The sequence below is a fragment of the Homo sapiens genome, chromosome 1 (genome assembly GCF_000001405.40).
Source record: "Homo sapiens chromosome 1, GRCh38.p14 Primary Assembly".
NCBI classification, from domain to species: domain Eukaryota; kingdom Metazoa; phylum Chordata; class Mammalia; order Primates; family Hominidae; genus Homo; species Homo sapiens.
The window spans coordinates 17,640,763-17,661,821 of NC_000001.11; the positions used below are offsets into that span (position 1 = coordinate 17,640,763).

At 54.6% G+C, this 21,059-nt stretch overlaps 1 protein-coding gene across 36 annotated transcripts in view, besides 1 other annotated feature; it reads left to right on the top strand.

Annotated features, from left to right (window-relative positions):
* The window catches only part of ARHGEF10L (Rho guanine nucleotide exchange factor 10 like), a 184,441-nt gene that overhangs the window by 127,328 nt on the left and 36,054 nt on the right, over nt 1–21,059 (top strand). For 35 of the 36 annotated variants that reach the window (NR_137287.2, NR_137288.2, XR_946686.4 and 32 more), the window contains 4 exons: nt 7,792–7,913; nt 13,874–13,960; nt 15,117–15,340; nt 15,792–15,946. Coding sequence is in view for 33 of the 36 variants with exons in the window: in XM_024448061.2 (XP_024303829.1) it covers nt 7,792–7,913; nt 13,874–13,960; nt 15,117–15,340; nt 15,792–15,946 (588 nt within the window). In the remaining 3 variants the exon portion in view is untranslated. Of the gene's footprint in view, nt 1–7,791; nt 7,914–13,873; nt 13,961–15,116; nt 15,341–15,791; nt 15,947–21,059 lie in introns of those variants that run through there. The other variant, XM_047424158.1, reaches the window with a different exon arrangement.
* Nucleotides 7,352–7,853: an enhancer, noted in NCBI's record as "H3K4me1 hESC enhancer chr1:17974609-17975110 (GRCh37/hg19 assembly coordinates)". NCBI's record gives its function as "activates a minimal SCP1, AML or CMV promoter by ChIP-STARR-seq in primed H9 embryonic stem cells {active_cell/tissue: H9 hESC(primed)}" and the evidence as "EXISTENCE:reporter gene assay evidence [ECO:0000049][PMID:30033119]".

Consider the following 21,059-nt stretch of genomic DNA (forward strand, 5'->3'; position numbering starts at 1 on the left):
ACCCAGAAAAATGATGCAGGTTGGACTATACTGATTCTCAAAGACCAAAGACCTCGTTACTATGTTTTTCTTCCTGTGCACCCCATGGTATGAATACAGATACATAAATGGATATTTACATGCACTTTTCTGAGTATTTTTTGTGCATCTTTTTCATTTCACATTCACAGTAGCCTTAAGAGTTAGGTCTGTTGAGAATCTCTTTTTCCATTGAGGATTCTGAGGCCCAGAGATGTGCGGGGACTTGCCTGAGGTCACACAGAAGGAAGGGGCAGATCTGGGCCGCAGACCCTGTGTGGCCTGACTCCAAAGCCCAGTCTCGATCCCCATCCATTCTGCTTCCTTGGCTTGGCAAGAGTCTGTCTGCAGACTGCATTCATTAAGTTATAATTACTTTACTTGTCCATTTTTTGAGTTGGTGAGAGGCTTATGTCCCCTCCAGACAGAGCTATTATTCCCTATGATGTACTACAGTTCCCATTTGCCGATGCCAGCCAATAGCAGGAACGTTTTTTTATTTTTGTTTCTGGTATGATCTTTCTATAGAGAAGCTTACATTTTCAATAGGTTTTAACACATTTATGGAAGGCCGGGCGCAGTGGCTCACGCCTGTAATCCCAGCACTTTGGGAGGCTGAGGCGGGTGGATCACAAGGTCAGGAGATCGAGACCATCCTGGCTAACATGGTGAAACCCTGTTTCTACTAAAAATACAAAAAATTAGCCTGGCACACGCCTGTAGTCCCAGCTACTCGGGAGGCCAAAGCAGGAGAATTGCTTGAATCCGGGAGTTCGAGTTTGCGGCGAGCCAAGATCATGCCACTGCACTCCAGCCTGGGCAACAGAGCCAGACTCCATCTCAAAAACAAAACAAAACAAAACAAAACACAACAAAACAAACAAAAAGACATTTCTGGAAAGAAGTCAGGACCTTTGGCTGGGCGTGGTGGCTCGCGCCTGTAATCCTAGCACTTTGGGAGGCCGAGGCGGGCAGATCACCTGAGGTCAGGAGTTCGAGACCATCCTGGCCAACATGGTGAAACCCCATCTCTACTAAAAATACAAAAAAATTAGCCAGACATGGTGGCGCATGTCTGTAGTCCCAGCTACTCGAGAGGTTGAGGCAGGAGAATCACTTGAACCTAGGAGGCGGAGGTTGCAGTGAGCCAAGATCGTGCCACTGTACTCCAGCCTGAGTGATAGAGTGAGACTCCGTCTTAAAAAAAAAGAAAAAAAAAAGAAAAAAAAAAGAAGTTAGGACCTATGTCACTGGTTTTCATTAATGGAAAAAACTGTTGAGACTCTACATAGTTTTGGGCATGGGGGAAGAATAATGACAAAAACAGAGAGATCTCTGCTCTCAAGGAACTTAGATTTATGAGGGGCAGGCAGGTGGACATTAAATGGGGAGCAAATCTGCAAGCAGGTGTTATGCTGTACAGGGCATAGAGCTGGGCTGGGGCTGCCATCTGGGGGACCCCTGAGGCGGGGTCCTCAGAAGCTGCACAAATATCTGGTCAGAGTGATCCAGGTATGGGGATAGCAAGTACAAAGGCCCTGAGGTAGGGACAGAAGGAAGCCCAGAGTGGCCAGCACTGGCAGATGAAGGGGAGGGAGGTAGGTGGGTGTGTTGCGGGCAGGTTTTCTGGGAAGCCGGGGAGAGCCGTATGGGATTTGTTCTGGGCATGATGGGAAGCTGTGCATTATAGCATTGAGAGCTGGATAGTGTCCCGATCTGATTTTCATTTAAGTGGGTCATTCTGGCTGCTGTGGGGAGAGGGCATGGGAGGGGCAGGTGTGGAGGTGGGAGCAGGAATGGGGAGGGGTTGCCTGTGGAGGAACCTGGACCAGAGGCTTCTACTCAGCCCATCCCTTCTTGGATCCAGTGCTGATATTGCTCTGACCTCAGCTGGATGTTTCTGGGTGACCAGAAGGCCTTTGGAGGGTGCAGAAAGTGTTTTAAGCAGAAGCTGTCCTGTCCCTGGCAGAAGACTTTGGGAATCCTGGCCCTCAGAAAGGCTAATGTGGCTTCCCTGCCCCTTGGGCCATGCGCTCCCCTCCCCACCCCATGCATCACTTCCATCCTGAGAAGTGCCCGAGCCCCATGTTACACCTGCTTTAAAGGCAGATGAATGTCCTGTTTGAACCGCATGTGCTTTGCTGCATGGGGCTTGGTGCTGGAGGGATGGGAGACGGTGATTCGGGCAGCCCCAGCTCTTGGCAGCCTGTGAAGATGCTGGGCTGCCTTATCTCCACACAGCTTCACTGCAGCAAAAGTTTTAATGGAAGAAGAGTCATTTGAAATCTTATTTGAATGCCTGGGTTCCCCTGGGGCTTGAATAATTTGTTTCTTTTATTTTGCCAGTATTTTTTTTCTTTTTATCTGCAGTGGCTGGTTTGGGAGGGGATGATAATATGAGCCTGTTAGAAATAGAATATGTTAAAAACATTTATTCACAAAGGCTGTTATTCCTTTATTTTATTTTCTATATCTTCCTCCCTCCCTGACTACAGTGTGTCAGGATCATAATCTGAAGATTGAGAAAGGAGAGGGATGTGGTGGGGGAGCCTGCGATCTGGGAGAGGGGATCAGCTCTGCCCCTTGGAAGGGCAGGGAGCCCTGGGGAATCTGGGGACCCCGTTCAAACCCCAGCATGGCCACCACCACGCCTTGTGGTCCTGGGAAAGGCAGACTCCATCCTGAGACCCAGTTTTCCTATTTGTGAGTTGGAATAGATCTCCAAGGGCCCTGTTGCATTCTTTGGCACACAGGAAGGTTTGAGAGGCAGTAAGGGGTGGTCCTCAGCACCATGGGAAATGGAGCTAGACCATGTGGGTTCCGTTCCCAGCTCTGCCACTGACCAGCTCTGTGATCCCAGCAAACTAACTCTGAGATGCCTTGGATTTTCCACCAGAAAACGGGGAAAATGCCAGTGCCCCCTGCACAGGGCTCTCGTGAAAATGTGGGGAGATGGTGCATGGAAGATGCCTAGACAGCCAGCCCTTGGCACATAGGAGCTGTGAGAGGGGCTCCTAGGTCAAGGAGTGTCTGCATTTCAGATGGGGAATGGCCTTTCTGAGGTCACACGCGATTTAGTACAGGGCCAGGATATCTTCCTACCTCTTTCTACCGGTTAGGCTCTTGTTGGTAAAAGCTCCAGAACAGGGCTGCAGATGGAAGGTCCCAGAGAAGGAAGAGGTGAGGTAGGGGGCTCCCTCATTTCCCTCCTGTACCCTCCCCCGCCACCACCTGCTCTGCTCACAAAGCTGCATTGCTGCCTCTTACCCTCCCCGGGCCCTTGGAGCTCCTCCCACCCATGGCCCTTCTCATTCCCACCTCTCAAGGGGACATGGGCCTGGCAGGCCATGGCTAATGCCAAACTCACAGGGACATAACCAGGTGGCCCAAGGCAGTGAGCCTGAGCGCAGGGCTGGGCCCTCCCTTGCTGCCTCTCATTTGGTTTAGTTTTCCGGCCCATAGTCGTCACACTGACGCCAATATTCCTTCCGGGATGACTCCAGCTGTTGGGTCCTGAGCACAGCCCTGGCAGAGTGTGAAGTGTGTTCTAGACCTCAGCATGTCCTTGAACCCTCACTGCTGTCCCACAGGCTGGTGCTGGGATCTGCCCACACCCTGCAGCTGGAAGGGATGGGTCTCCTCTCCAGGAGTAGGGCCGAGGGCGTGGCCTTGGAGTCCGACCCTGGTTTTACCCCAGCTGGGAGACTGTGGCTACTTGCTTGGCCTCCCTGGACACCAGTGGCCCTCTCTGTAGGGGACAGGTGGTTGGATGAGATGCCTGCTGAGGTCCAGCCCAGCCTGACATCTGTGGCTGTGGCCAGCAGCATCTCCATGGTGCTGGGGAGGTGTGAGCGGTATCTTGAAGGTGGCTTTAAGTTTGGGAAGTTCGGGAAGAGCAGTAAAGGCACGATACTGGGACTGAGCCCAGTAGGAGTCTGGGAGGCAGGTCGGGCTGGAGAAGCAGGGCTGGGCCCGCGGTGGGCTCAGCTGCCCTCAGTAATAGCGACAGTCAGACCATGAGCAGCGAGGACAGTGACCACCATGGCTGCTATTTCCGGAGTGCCTGGTGTCTGCTGGTCATGATATATATGATTTCCAGTGCTCACAACTCCAGATGGTTGGCGTTCCTTCCCCCATTTTCTACATGAGGCCACAGGCTCAGAGAGGGTAAGCACTTGGCTCCGTGTCACATAGTGAGTTGGAGACTGAGGTGGGATCTGCCCGGGCCCTTCTAGCAGATCAGAGGGGATTGTTCTGAGGGTAGCGGGGGATCTGCAACCCTGGAGCTGCTCCCTGTGTCCCATGGGGAGCTCTCATGCCCAGGGGGTGTTGGCAAACAGAGCTGGGTGCTAAATAAGCCCCCACTTAGCGTCAACTGGAAATTGCGGTTCTGCAGTCGGTGCCAGTTCTTAATGTCACTTATCCCAAGCGGGCTTTCAATTTTCAGCGACAGCAGTCTTCTAATTTGGTCTCCGCCACTCTGGTTTTGTGACGGGAACAATGGCAGTGGCAGATGGGGAGCAACGACTCCATTTTCTTGTAACGTCCCCAGTCGCAGGCAGGGAAGGCACCATCTGGAAGGAGAAGGTCAGATCATTAAAAAAAATACGTATGAATAAATTGCCAGGACTTGATGGGCTATGGGTGTTCGGGGAGGAAAGAGAGGAGCTGAGCTCTGGGCGCCCTGGTGACAGGGGCTAGGGTGGGGAGATGCTCGCTCACCCAGCTCCTACAGGTTGTGGGGTGAGGAATTGGGGGTCCAGACCAGAGCTCTTGGCTGGTAGAGGTGAGGGTCTGCTTGATTGTAAGTTCCTTGAGAGCAGGGACAAGCTCTCAAATCTGGCCTATCTTTATTTGCTGCCCAGGGGCTTGTCCAAGAGGCAGCATGGCGAGCGCTGGCACACTAGCAGAGGCTAGGAGAGCCGTGCTGCCCCGGGACAAGGTGCGTCGCAGGCACCGTGCAAGGCGCCCCCGTGGGTTAGTTCCTTGGCATCTGGATCTTCCCCTGCTTTCCCCTTTCCTCTGCTGGCCAGCGTGGAGTGCGGATAGAAGGACGTATCTCCCGTGATGGCTGTGAGGATGCAGTGAGGCAGTGTGGAAACTGTGAGGTGCAGGGCACGTAGAAGTGTCTGTTATGGCAACGCGCGTGCCCTGTGTGGTCGTGCCCTTTCCCTGAGGGTCTCTTATGTAGGCCTTTCCTCCCTGGTGGCAGGGATCAGGTCTTACATGACTCTGTTTCCAGGGCCCAGCAGGGTAGAGGACCAGACATGGAGGATGCCTCTGGGCCCATTTCGGGAATGAGTTCACTGCTCAGTGACTCAGGCCGGAGGGTGTGAGCCCGCCGGGTGCTGGCGCCTTCACATCATCAAGCCTGACATTTGGGAATGTCTTTCACTTCTCAAATAGCATCCTCACCTGCCACCTCATTCCAGCTCCTCTTGCTGTGCCAGCATTCAGGTGCCACCTCTCTCGGGCAGTGACGGCATGAGGGCTGCTCTCAGGGTGGTCCTTCCTCACTCATGTCCAGCCCTTCTCTCTGACCCGGCAGGATCTCTTTGATGAAAGCGAGTCAGATTAACGTTCATGTCGTGGGTACATCTGACAAACCTGGAAAATGAGGCTCTGAGAAAAGAGACTTTTTGTTCATATCCCTAAATGTAGTGATGGTCTGTGGTGGGTCCAGCCCTGCGTGGGTGGGTTGGGTGAGGTGTAGAAGGAAATAGGGTGGGAGGTTTCGGCCTTCATAGAACACTGGCATGGTGGGGGAGCGCCTACCTCCATGTGCACACACACGCACGCGTGCACACGTGCACATGTGCACACAACGAAGAAGAGCCACACTGGTGGAGGAGCAGGGAGTAGCTGTGAGAGGTGTGATACCCTCCAATGGGCTGAGACGACAGGTGGTGGAGGCCAGGGCATGGAGACATGGGTGGTGCAGGCCTCTCTGAGAAGGAGAGGAGCCAGCCCTGGGGAGGTGAGGGGCAGCGTTCCGGACAGCGGGAACCTCTGGGCCCGTCCCGGCGAGGTTGCTGAGCACAGTCCAGCACGGTGGAGCCAGTGGCCGAGGGAGGAGGCTGGGGAGGGAAGGGACCTTCGCAGCTCTTCCAGGAGAGTTTGGATCTTATTCTGGGCTGACTGGGACTCCACTGATGTTTCCAAGCAGGGGAACGGCGAGGCCAGGTGTAAGTTTTAGCAGGATGGGCCTGGCTGCCGAGCAAAGATGACTGTAGTGTCAGGGGGCCCCAGTGTGGCTGGCGGGAACTCTCCGGCTGACCTGGCGCCTCCTAGGGGAGGGGCAGGCTCCGGCTGCCTGCGACAGAGCTACTCTAGCATCACCGTGCCCACAGGCCTCTGCGATGGAGCATCAGCGGGCGCGGTTGCTGAAGGCTGCCTGGTTTAGTCCAGAGAATTCAGTCTTGGGTGTCAGATCTAGGCCTGAATCTGGGTGCTGCCCCCTAGCCATGGCTGTGGCCTGGCCACGTTACTAAATCCCTGAGTGCCAGTGTCATCCTCTGTGGAGTGAAAATAATGATTCTGGCTGTGCTCAGCGATTGTGAAGACTAAGCCAGGGCATAGACGGCGGCGCTCAGTGTGGTGCCTGATGTGTGGGTGCATAGTAGGTGGTGTCTTCATCACGCTCATCCCTGCTGTGGGCTTGCTGGAAGGGAGTCCTCATAGGGAGTGTAAAGAAGGAAGGGATCCTCCGCAGGGAGAATTCTTCAGGACAGACGGTGGTTTATTCCTCCCTCCTTCCTTTTATTCATTCTTTCCAGCCATGTTTTCCGAGCACTCGCTATGTGCCTTGCAGTGTGCTGGGTGTCAGGGGACAGTGGTGAATGAGACAGTGCAGACCCCCACTGACTACAGCTTTGATATTAGAGACTTATGGAAATGGACCACGGATGATTTTAGATCATTATGAAGGCTGCGAGGAAAGTAAGACAGGGTCTTTAGAGTGATTCCTGAGAGAAGGGGCCACTGTAGTCAGGGTGGTCAGGGAGGACTTCTCGGAGGAGGGGACATGTGAGCAGAGCCCCGAGCCATGTAAAGGAGCCTCCACAGAGAACGAGGTTTAGCAGATGCTCTTTAGCATGGTGACCTCCCGTGGTGAGTCCTGGGTCTGGGGTCGGGTTAGGCATCTGTACTTGTAACGGGTCCCTGGGAGCTTTGAGGCCCAGCTAGGGTGGGTGAACTGGAGGCAGGCGGCTTCCTAATTTCAGGGTTGTCTTGAAGGAAGCAGGAGTGTGATTCTTCTGCATTTCCATCACCACCATGGTCAAGTGTGAGTGCCGCAATGGCGACCTCCTGTCCTCTGATCGTTCATGGTCTGTCTCCTACTCTGCAACAGAAATTCAAGGCAACAGGGGTCTGGACTCTGTTCAGCATCTTAACATTTTTTAAAAACCCTTTTACATCTATTATTTCATTTGGTCCTCACAACAACCACAGGACGAAGGCATTTCTAGCATTCCTATTTTCTAGGCAAAGAAATTGAGGCTCAGAGAGTTGGGGTGACTGGCACAGGGTTGTTCAGCGGTAGGGTGGTCAAGCTGGGACCTTGTTTTTCAACTCCCTGCCTGAGACCCTGGCCACGGCATCACTCCTGAGGCTGGATTTCATCTCAGTCCGGCAGGAGTAGGGTGGGGAGTGACTGGATGGGGCCAGGCTTCTGGGGCCTGCAGTGGCTCCCTGGGGCTTGGAGGGCTCCTCATGGCCCAGTTGGTCCTTGGACTCTGACCAGCTCTACCCACCTCCTTCCTCTTGCTGTAGGGGAGGAGAACCAGCCAGGCTGGCTATGCCCGGATGAGGACAAGAAGAGCAAAGCCCCATTCTGGTGCCCGATCCTGGCCTGCTGCATCCCTGCCTTCTCCTCCCGGGCACTCAGCCTGCAGGTGAGTGGAGCGGATCTTGCTGAGCCGACCTCGAAGGTGGCTGCGGCTCCCCCTCGCCTGGGAGAACCAGAGTTTCCAGGGAGCGCCCACAGCAGGGAAGGCTCAGGTTCCAGCTGTGGCTTCTAAATTCTTACTGACAGATTTGGTCAAGCCTTTTTGTTGCTTCGGGAATCAGCTTTCCCACCACAAAAATGGAGGCGAACGACCACTGTGGGTCAAGTGAATGGAAAATTCCATTATTTTGAGATAATAAACAGCAATGATCTCATCTGTTGATGGCATGGCTCCAGATCATGCCGAAGCGGCTGTGCCAGCCACTGTGGGTTGGGTGCTTTGTGGTTCGCCAGGCGGGAGCCGGCTTTGGCGCAGGGATTGCCCTCATCATGGAATGCTCCAGCGCCATCAGGCCTCCCGTGTATTGAGCACCTGCTGTGCCCCCTGGTTCTTTCCTGCTATTCTCTTATTTTAATATCTATAAGAACCTTGCGAGTAGATGTTTCTCTATCCATTTCACAGATAAGGAAACTAAGGCTAAGACAGGTGCTATGATTTTCCAAAAAGGACATAGCTAGTAAGAATTTGAACCTTGCCCTGCCTGATCACAACACCCAGGGTCTTAACCATGAGGATGTTCAGCCTTCACGGGTTACCTGCCCTTATACCCTGTCCTAGCTCGCCCTCCATCTAGAGCAATTACTGCCTCCCCTTTCCCAGGGAGATGAGGTCATCTCAGCTCCAGGGATAGGAGCACCAGTTGGGGACCCAGGCCCAGATTGGTGAGCCCCAAGAGATGCGCCGATTGGGCTGTAGACTGGGGATCTAAACAGCTGAAAGAACAAATCCTTGAGATATGAGTTCATTTGTTCACTTGTCCATTCTGCATGCAATTTTCTGAGCACCTGTTGTGTGCTAGACCCTGGGAATACAGTGGTGACTAAGACATAGAAGGTCCCAACCCTTATGTAGCTTTGAATCCTAGCAGGGAGAGAGAGAGGCAAAACCCCAGCAAGCCAAAGGAAATAGAAAAGAGTGAGGTGTGTAATAAAGACATCGGGGCCACAGTAGATACGTGGGTGGGCTGAGGTTCAGAGATGGCCTCTTGGAGGAGGTGGCATTTAAACTGAGAACTGAATGGCGAGAAGGATTCAGCCCAGGGATGGGAACAATATTCCCAGTAGACAAACCCACACAGAGGGTGCAGCAGAAACAGTGGGGGAAGCCAGGCGAGGCAGGAGGAGAGAGGGCGGGCCCCGAGGTTCGCTGGTGGGTGAGCTGGACCACGCCAGCCTTGCAGGCTGGGTCAGCTTTGGATTTTGTTCTCAGAGCAGTAAAAAGCCTTGGAAACAGATGTTTCCCAAGCTAGGGACTAGCACAATTTGATATATAGTTCGCATTTTTTGGATCCTTCTGGCTGGTGTGTGAGAGTGAATTGCAGATAAGAATGGATACCGGGACTGAGCGTGGTGGCTCATGCCTGTAATCCCAGCACTTTGGGAGGCTGAGGTGGGAGGGTCACTTGAGTCCAGGAGTTCGAGACCAGCCTGGGCAACATAGTAAGATCCCCATCTCTACAAAATAAAAATAAAAAAAAATTAGCCAGGTGTGCCATGAGCCTATAGTCCCAGCTACTTGGGAGGCTGAGGTGGGAGGATCGCTTGAGCCCAGGAGGTTGAGGCTGCAGTGAGCTGTGATTGTACCACTGCACTCCAGCCTAGGGGACAGAGTGAGACCCTGTCTCAAATAAATAAGTAAATAATACAAAAGGACTGGATGTCGGCTGGGTGAGGTAGCTCACGTCTGTAATCCCAGGATTTTGGGAGGCCAAGGCAGGTGGATCACTTGAGGTCAGGAGTTTGAGACCAGCCTGGCCAACATGGTGAAACCCTGTCTCTACCAAAAATACAAAAATTAGCTGAGCTTGATGGTGCACACCTGTAGTCCTAGCTACTGGAGAGGCTGAGGTGGAAAAAACACTTGAACCCGGGAAGCGGAGGTTGCAGTGAGCCGAAATCATGCCACTGCATTCCAGCCTGGGTGACAGAGTAAGACCCTGTCTCAAAAAAAAAAAAAAAAAAAAAAATGGACCTGGAGGGAGCAGCTCAGAGCTCAGCTCAGGGTCCTGCTGAGACGTGGCAAGACTTGATGTGGGCGGAGGCCAGGGCTGTGACTGGAGTAAGGCGCCTTTGCCTCAGGCACAAAATTTCAGCCGATGTCAAAAATCTCAATAATTAAGATAAATACTATTTTAATGCAGTGCGTAAATATAATCAAATCAGCAAATTTTTCCTTGTGGTTTGGCCGCTCTTTTTGTCTCTTGATACATAAAGGGCCAGGATTAGGGTGAGGCAAGTGAGCCAGGGTCGTGCAAGTGTAGGGTGAAGTTTTGTCTGTATTTAAACTTTTAAATAACTATTCAGTGTGGATTTTTTGCATTAATATTGATTTTTTTAAAGTTGCCTTACTCTCTCTCTATATATATACATTTTTGTGACTGAGTTTTTGGTGCCCTTTTAAATTTTGTACCCAAGCTAGGTGCCCCAGTCTATCACCCTAGTCCTGGCCCTGGTGGAGGCCGTCGGCAAGGGAGGTGGACACATTGGGGATGTGTTGGGGTGGGACAGGCTTAACTGGTGATAGATGGCGTATGCCAGATGGGGGGTTACCTGTGGGCCCTGGGGCCTTGGGCTGGAGGCAGCGACCATGGAGTAGGGAGTATCAGGGCCCACTGTGCCTGCGGCCAGCTTGGCCTTAGCGCATCCCTGCAGAAGGCTGGCCCTGGGTGACTTTATGGTGGGCGTTGGATTCTCCTGTCTCCCCCAGGGCCTTGGGTCTCTTGAGAGCACAGGATGCAGGCTGAGCCCTGACAGATCAGACCCCAGTGGTGGAGTCACAGAACTGGCCACTGCCTCCAAGGCCTCCCCAAAAGAAACCCCCATCCAGGTGGGGAGCCTCTGCCACCTCGAACCTGGGGAACCAGGGCCCACGAACCTCCTCAGTGCGAGCTCTCAGGGCCCAGGAATATGTAGGCCAGAAGCATCCTCAGTCCTGCTGGCCCCGGCTCACTGTCTCCTTAGGAGCGCCAGGGCTAGTGGAGGGAGGCGAGTGACTCTCTGTGGTAAGGGGCCTGTGGAGCTCCCAGAAGCCAGAGCAGAGCCTGCCTGGCTGCACTAGCTAGGCCTCAAATCGCTGTCCCCCTCTGCCCACACCCTACCCCACCCCACCACCAGTCCAGACAAATGTGCCCCATCAGCTGTGTGCTGGCAGCCTGATGAAATAGGGCCTGGGAGTACCAAGGCCCTGTCCAATTACTGCAGAAGCAGATGTGACTGTGTGAACCTCTGCCCAGGCCCCCTTCCAGCTCACCACGTTTCCAGGTGGTCCTGGGGCAGGGGGTGACTCCAGCTCTGGCTGGCCTCATGGCGAGCAGTGGCCCAGACTATTTGTCTAGGGAGGGCTTGGGCTGGGCAGAGGGAGTTGCTGGCCACAGTGTAGACAGGGTCGGCACTCTGTACCAGTGGATGAGGATGTGTTGGGTTCTTTCCTTCAAGGGATCAGGGGTGTTGGGGCAGGAGGCAGGAGTAGGTCTCTTGTCTGTGCTGACAGTGGCCCCTGCCCACGCTGGGCCACACCAAGGCCTTCTGACTCAAGGGAATCAGTTGGGAGTGTGAAGGAGCATCAGCAGGGGCCACCTGCCTTGGATTGAGTCCCAACAGTGTGACATCAGGAATGCTGCCTCAGCTCATGGTATCTTAAACTAGGGTGGTCACAGCACCTTCCTGACTGGGTCACCTTGAGGATTAAAGGATATGATTTGGGTCAAGTGCTTAGCCAGTTGCATGGGGTGCGCTCAGGGGTCAAGAAACAGAAGCAAACACCTGAGGACACCCTGGTCCCCAGGAAGGTGAGGACACCGGAGTCTATTCTGTGGCATTTCTGAACGCCTGACTACTACGGTGTCGAAGGTTCTTCTTGGACCCCTGGCTCCATCCAAGGGGGAATGCTGTCTCTGGAGGGGTGGCAGGAGGGCAGGGAGGGTTCAGCGCAAACCCATTTCCCTGATGGTCAGTCTCAGAGCCCACCTGGGGACAGGGCCTTGGGGATGGGGCTGGGGGTGCTGCCTGCTCTGAGATGCTTTAAAACTCGAGCACCTTGGGAGCCTAAGGGGTGTAGCCCAGACCCACAGGGGGTCTGTGGCCAGGCTTGCTTAGGCCAAAGCTCACAAGCTCATTGGGCTGTGTCTTGACCTTCACCAACCTCAGCCAGAACTGCTGTTGGCCGTGTACCCTGTCTCCTGCTCATCCTTGATGGCTCTGCCCTCATAGCCTTGCTCTGATGATGAAATGAGCTAAGGTGTGTGAAGTGCTAGAATATCCCATGAGAGGCCCTTGGTAAGCCTTAGTAGCTGCAGGGTACTGGGTACCTGGCCCTGGGCCGGGTGCTTTACACTTTCCCTCTCCAGTCCCCACGGCCATCCTGAGAGATTTCAGGGTCTCTGCTCTGTAGGTGAGGACCTGATTTGTTCAGTACCATCCAGATGGTAACCACTGAGCTGGGGCTGGAGCCGTGTTGGCTGTACCTAAAGCTGCTTCCCTTCACAGCTTCGTGCTCCCCTCCTCTCTTCTGCATAGGGTGCCTTGACTTCCCAGTTTCCTGGCACAGGCAAGACATTTAGGGGCTAGGGCCTTGCCTGTGAAGGAGAGGAGCCATTTGAGTATTTTCCACCATCTTCGACCCGGCTCTGTTGACTCAGCTGACATCAGGGCCCACTGGAGTTGCCATGGAAATGCCTCAGCAGGGGCTGCCGTGGCCTCGTCTCCACCAAGGGAGCAGAGAGAGCATCAGCCCAGCAGAAAGGGCATGCACCCTCAACTAGATGCTGCCACCAGGAAGCAGAGAAGACAGGGAGCCCAGAGGCCGGGCTTAGCGAAGCCCCCTGCTCTGAATGTGAGGACACACTTTTTCAGCAGGCAGAACTGGGGCCCCAGAGTGCCAAGGCCTCTGGTGTGCAGCCAGGCTTCTGGGGTAAAATTCAACCAGAATAGAAAGAGCCCTGAACCAGATGTTGAAGGTTTGAATTCTAGCCCTCACTCTGCCACTAACATGCTGTGTGACATTGAGCCAGGCACGCCTCCCTCTGACCTTCAAGTTGGCATCTGCGCAATGAGGAGGCTGGATGAGGTGACCTCTTAGGGCCCTCGCCCATGGCCATTAGAAATTTTGTTAGAATATTCTAACAATGGGTCCAGGGACGGCTGGGGCCTTTAGCACCAGCAGAGGGCAGCAGCTGCCTGGAAAAGGGCCCAGTGGTCGGCTGCATCCTCCTTCCAGCCAAGAGCAGTCTCTACTCTGTCTTCTCCTTCAGTGTGGCCCATGAGTGGGCCAGGCCATTTCCTAGAATTGCTGTCCTGGCCAGAGAGAGGGACTGACCAGGTCTAGCTCAGGAGACAGGCCTCAGAGAGAGGCCACCCAACATGGGGTCTGTGGCAGCTGATTCAGGGGGGAGCAGGCGGAAGGTGGTTACTGGTGACAGCGGTGACAGGCTGAGCCCTGGTTTCTGTGCGTGGCCCTCACAAGCCGCCCAGCCCTGCCACTCACCTCCTCTGTGGTCTAGGGTAGTCACCTGCCCTCTGTGACCCTCATTTCCCTGTTTGTAAAATAAGGAGGGGTGGGTGGCTTTCAAGAAATCTTATCTGAAAGCTGCTCACTTTCAGAGACCCTGGGCTGATACAGAGCCTCTTGCAGGCCTCTTCTAGCCGGAAGGTTCTAGGAAAGGAAGAACAAATGTGAGCGTGTAGGAACTGCCTGGAGAAGCAGGCACTCGTGAAGCATGTTGCTTTCCTGGCCCCCACCCACAGGGATTCTAATCCAGGGAGAGTTGGATGGGGCCCAGGAATCTGCCAAATATTGGCATCTGGGCACCTTGATGATTAACCTCACATGTACCGTCTCTGTCTCTGCAGCTTGGGGCCCTGGTCCACAGTCCTGTCAACTGTCCCCTGCTGGGTTTCTCAGCAGTCAGCACCTCCCTTCCACAGGGCTACCTCTGGGTGAGTCACCCCCCTGCCCAGCTGGGCATTCTGGCCTCAGGACAGGAGTAGGGAGAGCGGCACCTGGGAGGGGGTGCTGGAGACAGCAGCTGCCTGCCTCATCTCATGCAGCTTCATCCACCAAGGTCTTCCTGGGCACCTCTGGTGCCAGGCACTGCATTTGGAGTTGGGAGGTGCAACCTCATCTGGGGCAACAGAAAACCAGGGAGCTAAAAAGAGAGTGTGCCTTTTGCAAATGGTGACAGGGCTGAGAAGGAAGTGAAAGGGGGAGCTGTGCAGAGGACCTGGGTCTCAGGATCTTCACCCCTGGAGTCAGGAGGCAGGGCTGGCTAGTGCCCTACTCATGCAGACATTCCAGCCCACCTTTCTATCCTTGGGCTTCCTGGCAAAGCCTCCCTTGATTCAAGTGAGGTACCCTCCACTATGTTCCTTGTGCTGCAAATTGTGCCCTGTCATTGCTGCTTCCCTTCTGAGAGTGATTTGTTCCTCATCATTTCCCATGATCTAGCACATGGTATATCCATCCATCCATCATCCATCCATCTATCCACCCACCTATCCATCTATCCATCCACCCACCCACCTACCTATCCATTTATCCATCCAACAAGAATATATATTTAATCCATCCATTTATTTATCTGTCCATCCATCCACCCACCCACCCATCCATTCATTCACCGATACATCCTTCCATCTATCTGTCTATCATCTGTCCATCCATCCATCCATCCATCCATCCATCCATCCATCCATCTATCCATCCATCCATCCAACAAGAATATATTGAGTATGTATCTATCATATGCTAGACACAGAGGTAAAACAATGGTCAACACAGAGAAGGGCATTTTAAAGGGATGGAGTAGATGTTTACTTTATATTGGTTGAAATGCACCCTGCAGAGGAGGAAATAGAAAGCTGACTGAGTATTTAGTCCACCTTAGCTCCTTACCTGATTTCCTGTGGGCCCTGAAGCTTATTTGTTGCCATGGCAGCTGGGGATAAATGACCTTTGTGAAGGCAGGATGTGTGTGGGCAGGAGAAGGGATGCTTCTCTCAGGGGATGGGGTCCTTGGGAAAGCAGGGGCTGAGGTCCTCCTCTGCTCCCTCCTGTGGTTCCCACCTGATGGCCTCTCTGGGTCTCTGCTCCCAGGTCGGGGGCGGACAGGAAGGCGCAGGGGGCCAGGTGGAAATCTTTTCCTTGAACCGGCCCTCGCCCCGCACCGTCAAGTCCTTCCCACTGGCAGCCCCTGTGCTCTGCATGGAGTATATCCCGGAGCTGGAGGAGGAGGCGGAGAGCAGAGACGAGAGCCCGACAGTTGCTGACCCCTCGGCCACGGTGCATCCAACCATCTGCCTCGGGCTCCAGGATGGCAGGTGAGGGGCCCGGAAGGAGGGGTGAGAGCAGCCTCTGCAGGGCTGGGCAGTGGGTGGGGGCTGTCCCTGTAGCCTTCCGGATCTGCCTGTTGCCCACCAACATTCTCTGCCCCTGGTCTCCAGGAAGGTGGGCACCAGAGCTGCCCAGTGTGGGAGCCAAAGTGTCGGGAGCGGCCTGCAGTGCAGTTGCCTGGCTCCTCCCAGGCAGAATGGCTGGCTCTTTTGCCTCCCTGAGTCCTCTTCGTGACAGAGGTGTCAGGGAGGGTACCGTCCCAGAAAACCATGGAAAAGTGAGCTCCCGCATGGTGGAGCTATGGCCTGGCCACACAGCCGAAAGGCGTGGCTGAGAGGGGTCAGCTCCCTGGGGCCCTCTCCCTAGGAGGGCATGGGGGCAGTGAGTGGGTGGGAGTGCTCAGTGTGTCATGACCGCTTCTCCAACCTCTCCCCGCAGCATCCTCCTCTACAGCAGTGTGGACACTGGCACCCAGTGCCTGGTGAGCTGCAGGAGCCCAGGTCTGCAGCCTGTGCTCTGCCTGCGACACAGCCCCTTCCACCTGCTCGCTGGCCTGCAGGATGGGACCCTTGCTGCTTACCCTCGGACCAGCGGTGAGGACTGGGGGGAATGGGGGAAGGGGGGCAGTCCTGGATGCCAGCTGGGTGCCAGATTCTCTACCAAGAGAGGATACAGGAGGCTGGGCAGGAATGAATTGGGAAATCTCAGTGCTGAGGGCATTTGGAGATCCGTGAGCCCCGCTGGGGTTCAATGGGTGGTCCCCCATATGTGAATACCTGCTGGAATAGGGTGCTCACTACCATGTGGGCAGTGGAACCTGTTGACAGGAGACTGTAGTGGATAAGAGAGGTACTCGCAGGTTGGAGAGACCTGGCTTCCCGTTCAGGCTTTGCCCGATGACAGCTGTATCCCTTGTTGCGTGGCCTCCCTTCTTTGGTGCCTGGGACTCTTCATGAGAATAAGGGCAGTGCCCACCACTCATGGGTCCTGGAGGGTTAGACAACTCCATGAGGGCAAAGCACAGGGCCAGGCCAAGGGCTCAGTGGAGTCAAGTATTTCCATCTGGGTTGTTTTATTGAGCCATCCCTAGCACAGGTTACGATGTCAGGAGGGCAGGAGGGCAGGGCTAACCGTGTTTGGACTGCTGTGCTCCAGGGCAGGGGTAAAGTGCTTAATGCGTGTGTGTTATCTTAATTCTCATGCACCCCTTGAGAATTTCCTTTGCTTTACTGAGATGATGCTGACTGGAGACCAGACGCACCTTCTCCCCAGCCATGTGGAGTGCTGTGGTCCCCATCCTCTGGGCTTGTTCAGCCCCGATTTGATGAAGGGGGCTGAGTAGAGAGTGTAGCCAGCCCCCAGTCCCCTGGAAGGGGCAGAGGAGCCTGAAGGGCCCGCAGCGTCTCTTCTCCCCTGCCTTTTCCGCCAGCCAGGCTGTGATTGCCGCGTCATCACAGCCTGTTACAGGGTTATAAACGGATATTTGTACTGAGCTAATTTTTTTTTTTTTGCCACTTGGCACTGTGTTGGTATTTTTAATTAGCTTTTGATAAGGCATTTATAGTTTTTAATTAAAGGGGGAAGAGGGAGGGAAAAAACCCTTCTCACCGTCAGACAGAGCGTGCATGTGAATGTAAATATGGGCTCAGATCTGCGGAGACTCATGGGGAGTTCTAGAGCGACCACTCCCAACCGGCTCCCACGGAACACTGTGAGCCCGGCCTGTGCCACCCTGGCGCTCTGGTCCCCAGCTTGGGTTGGCTTTGGCCCATTCCCTCTTACTGCTCGATTCACCAGTTTGGGCACCTGGGTTGGAAGGAGGTGAGGCTGCCCTGACAAGGACCACAAATGGCAGACATGTAGCGTCGCATATCCTAGAGGCTGGAAGCCTGGGGTCCGTGTTTGGATGGGTCATGTGCCCTCAGAAGGCACTAGGGAAGGGCCTTACTCCCAGCTGCTTCAGGTGTTTCCTTGCCTGTGGCAGCAGAACTCCAGCCTCTGCATGGTGTTTTCCCTGGCTGTGTGTCTGTGTGCAAATTTCACTTTTTTATGAGGACACAAGTCATATTGGATTAGGGACCTGTCCCTCTCCAGTATGAACTCATCTTAACTAATTACATCTGCAATGACCTTACTTCCCAAGGAGGTCATATTCTGAGGTACTGGGGGCTGGGACCTCAACATACAGATGAGGAGGCACAGTTTACCCCAAAACATGGGGTTTGGGGTCCACCCATTGGCTTCTAGTCTGGGGTTGGAGCCTGTTAGTCAGGACCAAAAGAGCCACTGGGACCATTGAACCCCACGCCCTCATTTTCTGGATGGGAGCAGACTGTCCAGAGCCCCCTGACTGAGCTGAACCTGCACCCAGTACCCTGCCTCCCAGGCTGAGCTCTCTGCAGATGTGAGGGGGCTTTGGCTTGTCCAGGTAGAGTGGAGGACATGGGGTCTGAAGGCTGAGATGTTCTACCAGCTTTCCTGCCTTGCAAACATGTGTGTACCAAACGCTTACTGAGCACGTACTATATGCCATGGACACAGTGGTGAGCAAAATGGACAGGCCGCCTGCTCTCATGGAGCTTACAGTCTATAGAGGGAGAGGGAATCGGTTAGTAAACAAGCAGAAGTATAAGACTGTACATGATGCCGAGGGCTCCGACGGAAAGGAAAGAGTGTTGTGTGAGAGCCTCACTGCCCAAGTGTGGGGCAAGCTGTGCTGCAAAGGCCTCCCTGAGGAGGGGGATCCTGGGGCTGAGATCTTAAGAAGCCAGGCAAGTGGAGAGTTGGGGGAATGGTGTTCTTGGTAGAGGGAACAGTATACGCAAAGGCCCAGAGGCAGGAGAATGCTTGATTTGGTGGGGGAACCCGGAGAGGAAGCCATTTTGCTGGACAGCTGGAAGAGGAAGTGGCACTGGGCGTGACCCGGGGGCAGACAGAGCTGTTTGCGAGGGCTCCAACTTGTCTCAGTGTGTCAGGGAGTAGAGAGGCATGTTAGAGGTGGCCAAGCACTGGGTTCCCTCTGGCTGGTAGACAGGAGGGGAGGCAGGTTGGCTGGCTGGGAGGCTGAGGCACCACCTGGGCAGGTGAATTTGGTGGTCACGCTCTCCCAGTGAACCTACTCTCTGGGTGTCCAGTTTGGCTGTGGCCAAGGAGGCCCCTGAGAAGGGGCTTGCCTTACCTGGTCTCCCCACCCGTACCCAGTGGTATCTTTCAGAGGTGGCCCAAGCAGGCAGCTGTGTTCTCAGGACCTGCTACATGGTATGTGGTGGGCAGGATTCACCCCCATCACCTTCCACCTGGATTACATGCGGCCAGGTCTTGAATCATCCACCTGGTCCGTGACCAGCTGTGGGACTGGCATCAGCTTGGCCCTCATCCAGATTCACTGAGGCCTTAGATACCCCTCAGATACCCCCACCCATCCCAGCAGCAGAGCCAGGGCTTGGAACTGCACCCGCATCAACCTCGCAGGCTCTGTATCAACCTCAGAACCCACCATAGTGGCCCTGGTGGTGTGGAGGGTCCAGGGATTGTGAAAATCTAGACCCCTCATCTTCGTCTAGAAGCAGGTACTCCATGAAATATTTGCTGGTGTTTGAAGTGACATGTTCACTGTCCTGCCGGGTTAGGCTGAGACCAAGACTGGCATTCCTGCTAAAACTGGCATTCCTGGCCATGCTTTGGCTTATTGGAGAAGGACAGGACCAGACACATATAGGTCTGTAGGACAGAACCCACAGAACCAGCAGCTGAGAGTAGACTGTCCAGGCTCCAGGGTGACCAGGCCACGTGGAGGAATGGACTGGCAGAGCTGGAGTGGCCTCAGAGTCCCACCTGCAGCTGAGAGACAGGGAAACTGAGGCCAAGAGCAATGTGGCCATGGCAGTCACTCTGCTGTCCTCAGGAGCATCTGCTTGTTCTCATTCATTCATTCACTCCTTCATTTGCTCAAGAAGCCAGTGCCCCTGAGGTGTCAGGCATGCAGCAGGGTGCTGGGGCCCGGAGCTGAGACAGCCGGCCACTGTCCTTGCTGGCGTGCTACCTGGGTTCTCCCCTGCCTCTGAGAAGGCACAAGGGCATTGCCACGCCTTGGGTGGGGATGCGGGACTATCCCTGGTTGGGCGCTGGGGCTGTGGTTCGGAGTCCCCCCTTGAGGAGGCAGATGGCATAATGGGTAAGGGATGGGTTGGGCATCAGGCTGCCGGGATTGAGTCCTCACTGTGAGAGCTTGGGCCTTTCCTTTGCCCCTCTAATCCTCAGTTTCCTCACCCGTGAAATGGGGGTGTGGACAGCCCCACTTCATAGAATGGTTGTGAAGGGTAGACATGGCAATTCCCACGAGTGCCGCGACACAGCCTGGAGGATTGGCACCTCCCACGTGTCCCTTTATCACAGTCATCATCATCACAGTCGCTATTTACTGTCACCAGGCAGGGGCTGCCCTTTGGGCCCCTCTCAGCCGTGATGACTTTCACTCTGGGACCTGCTCTCTGGCTCCAGCCCAATCTCGACCCCTGAGGGAGACCCAGGGGCTTTCTCCACTGCTGGCTGGGGGAGGAGGGATGCCAGCCTCCTGAAGGTGCCTTTGCTGAGACAGGGCCTTCATCTCCCTGGCGCTGGCCACAAGAGCTGGTGCCAGGCCCAGAAGAATGGGCTGTCATACAGGGGCAGGCTTGTGCGTGTGGGTCTGTTTTCCAGAATATGTGCGTGCTTTCCCACAGCCACTGGAGGGTAAGGTGAGGAGGGGGTGGAAAGGGCGGGGCTCCCATCAGGCAGGGGCGGCTCTCACCAGAGCTCACAGCAATTGGGTTTAGGATCTCAGAATCACAGTGTGTGAGAGCTGGAAATAATCTCAGAGGACAGAGTTTTGTCCTCATGGTGCAGATAGGAAAACTGAGTCCCAGCAAGGGGAAGTCTCTTGTTCAGGATCCCACCATGGGCCCTCTACTCAGGGACTCCTGTCCAGTGTCCCTTATGAGCTTTTTTCTGAGACAGAGTTTCACTCTGTCACCCAGGCTGGAGTGCAGTGGCACTCCACTGCAACCTTGGCCTCCCGGGTTCAAGTGATTCTCCTGCCTCAGCCTCCCGAGTAGCTGGGATTACAGGCGCACACCACCACACCCAGCTAATTTTTGTATTTTTAATAGAGAAGGGGTTTCACCATGTTGGCTAGGCTGGTCTCGAACTCCCAACCTCAGGTGATCCGGCCGCCCCGGCCTCCCAAAGTGTTGGGATTACAGGCGTGAGCCACCGTACCCGGCCTTTATGAGTTTTTTGATCTATCAGTATTAGCATTATTAAATTTGATCACAGTTCATCATTCTGCCCTGGAGTCGACTTCTTAGAGGATTTCTGGAGACTCCCAGCAAATGCAGGAATGGCATTCATGCAGTCCTTAGGGTTTTAGACCCTAGCTCCTACCCTAGGCTTCCACAGCGAGGCTCTGTTCCAGGGGAGTGGATGCAAGGGCTCCGGTGGCTATCACTGTTGGATAGAGCCCCACTTTCCAGTTTTGGGGGGGTGTTTTCTCAGCATCCCTAGCTGCTTTTTCCCTGGGAGGGGTCCCAGCCCCCATCTCAGCCATAGCAGCCTAATTAGACTCCAGCTTCCAGCCACGAACACTACTCACCTCTGGCCACTGGGGGGCGCTCAAAGCCTTGCATTTTCTTGGCTCCAGCCTCCTGCTGTGGACCAGCATCCCTGGCG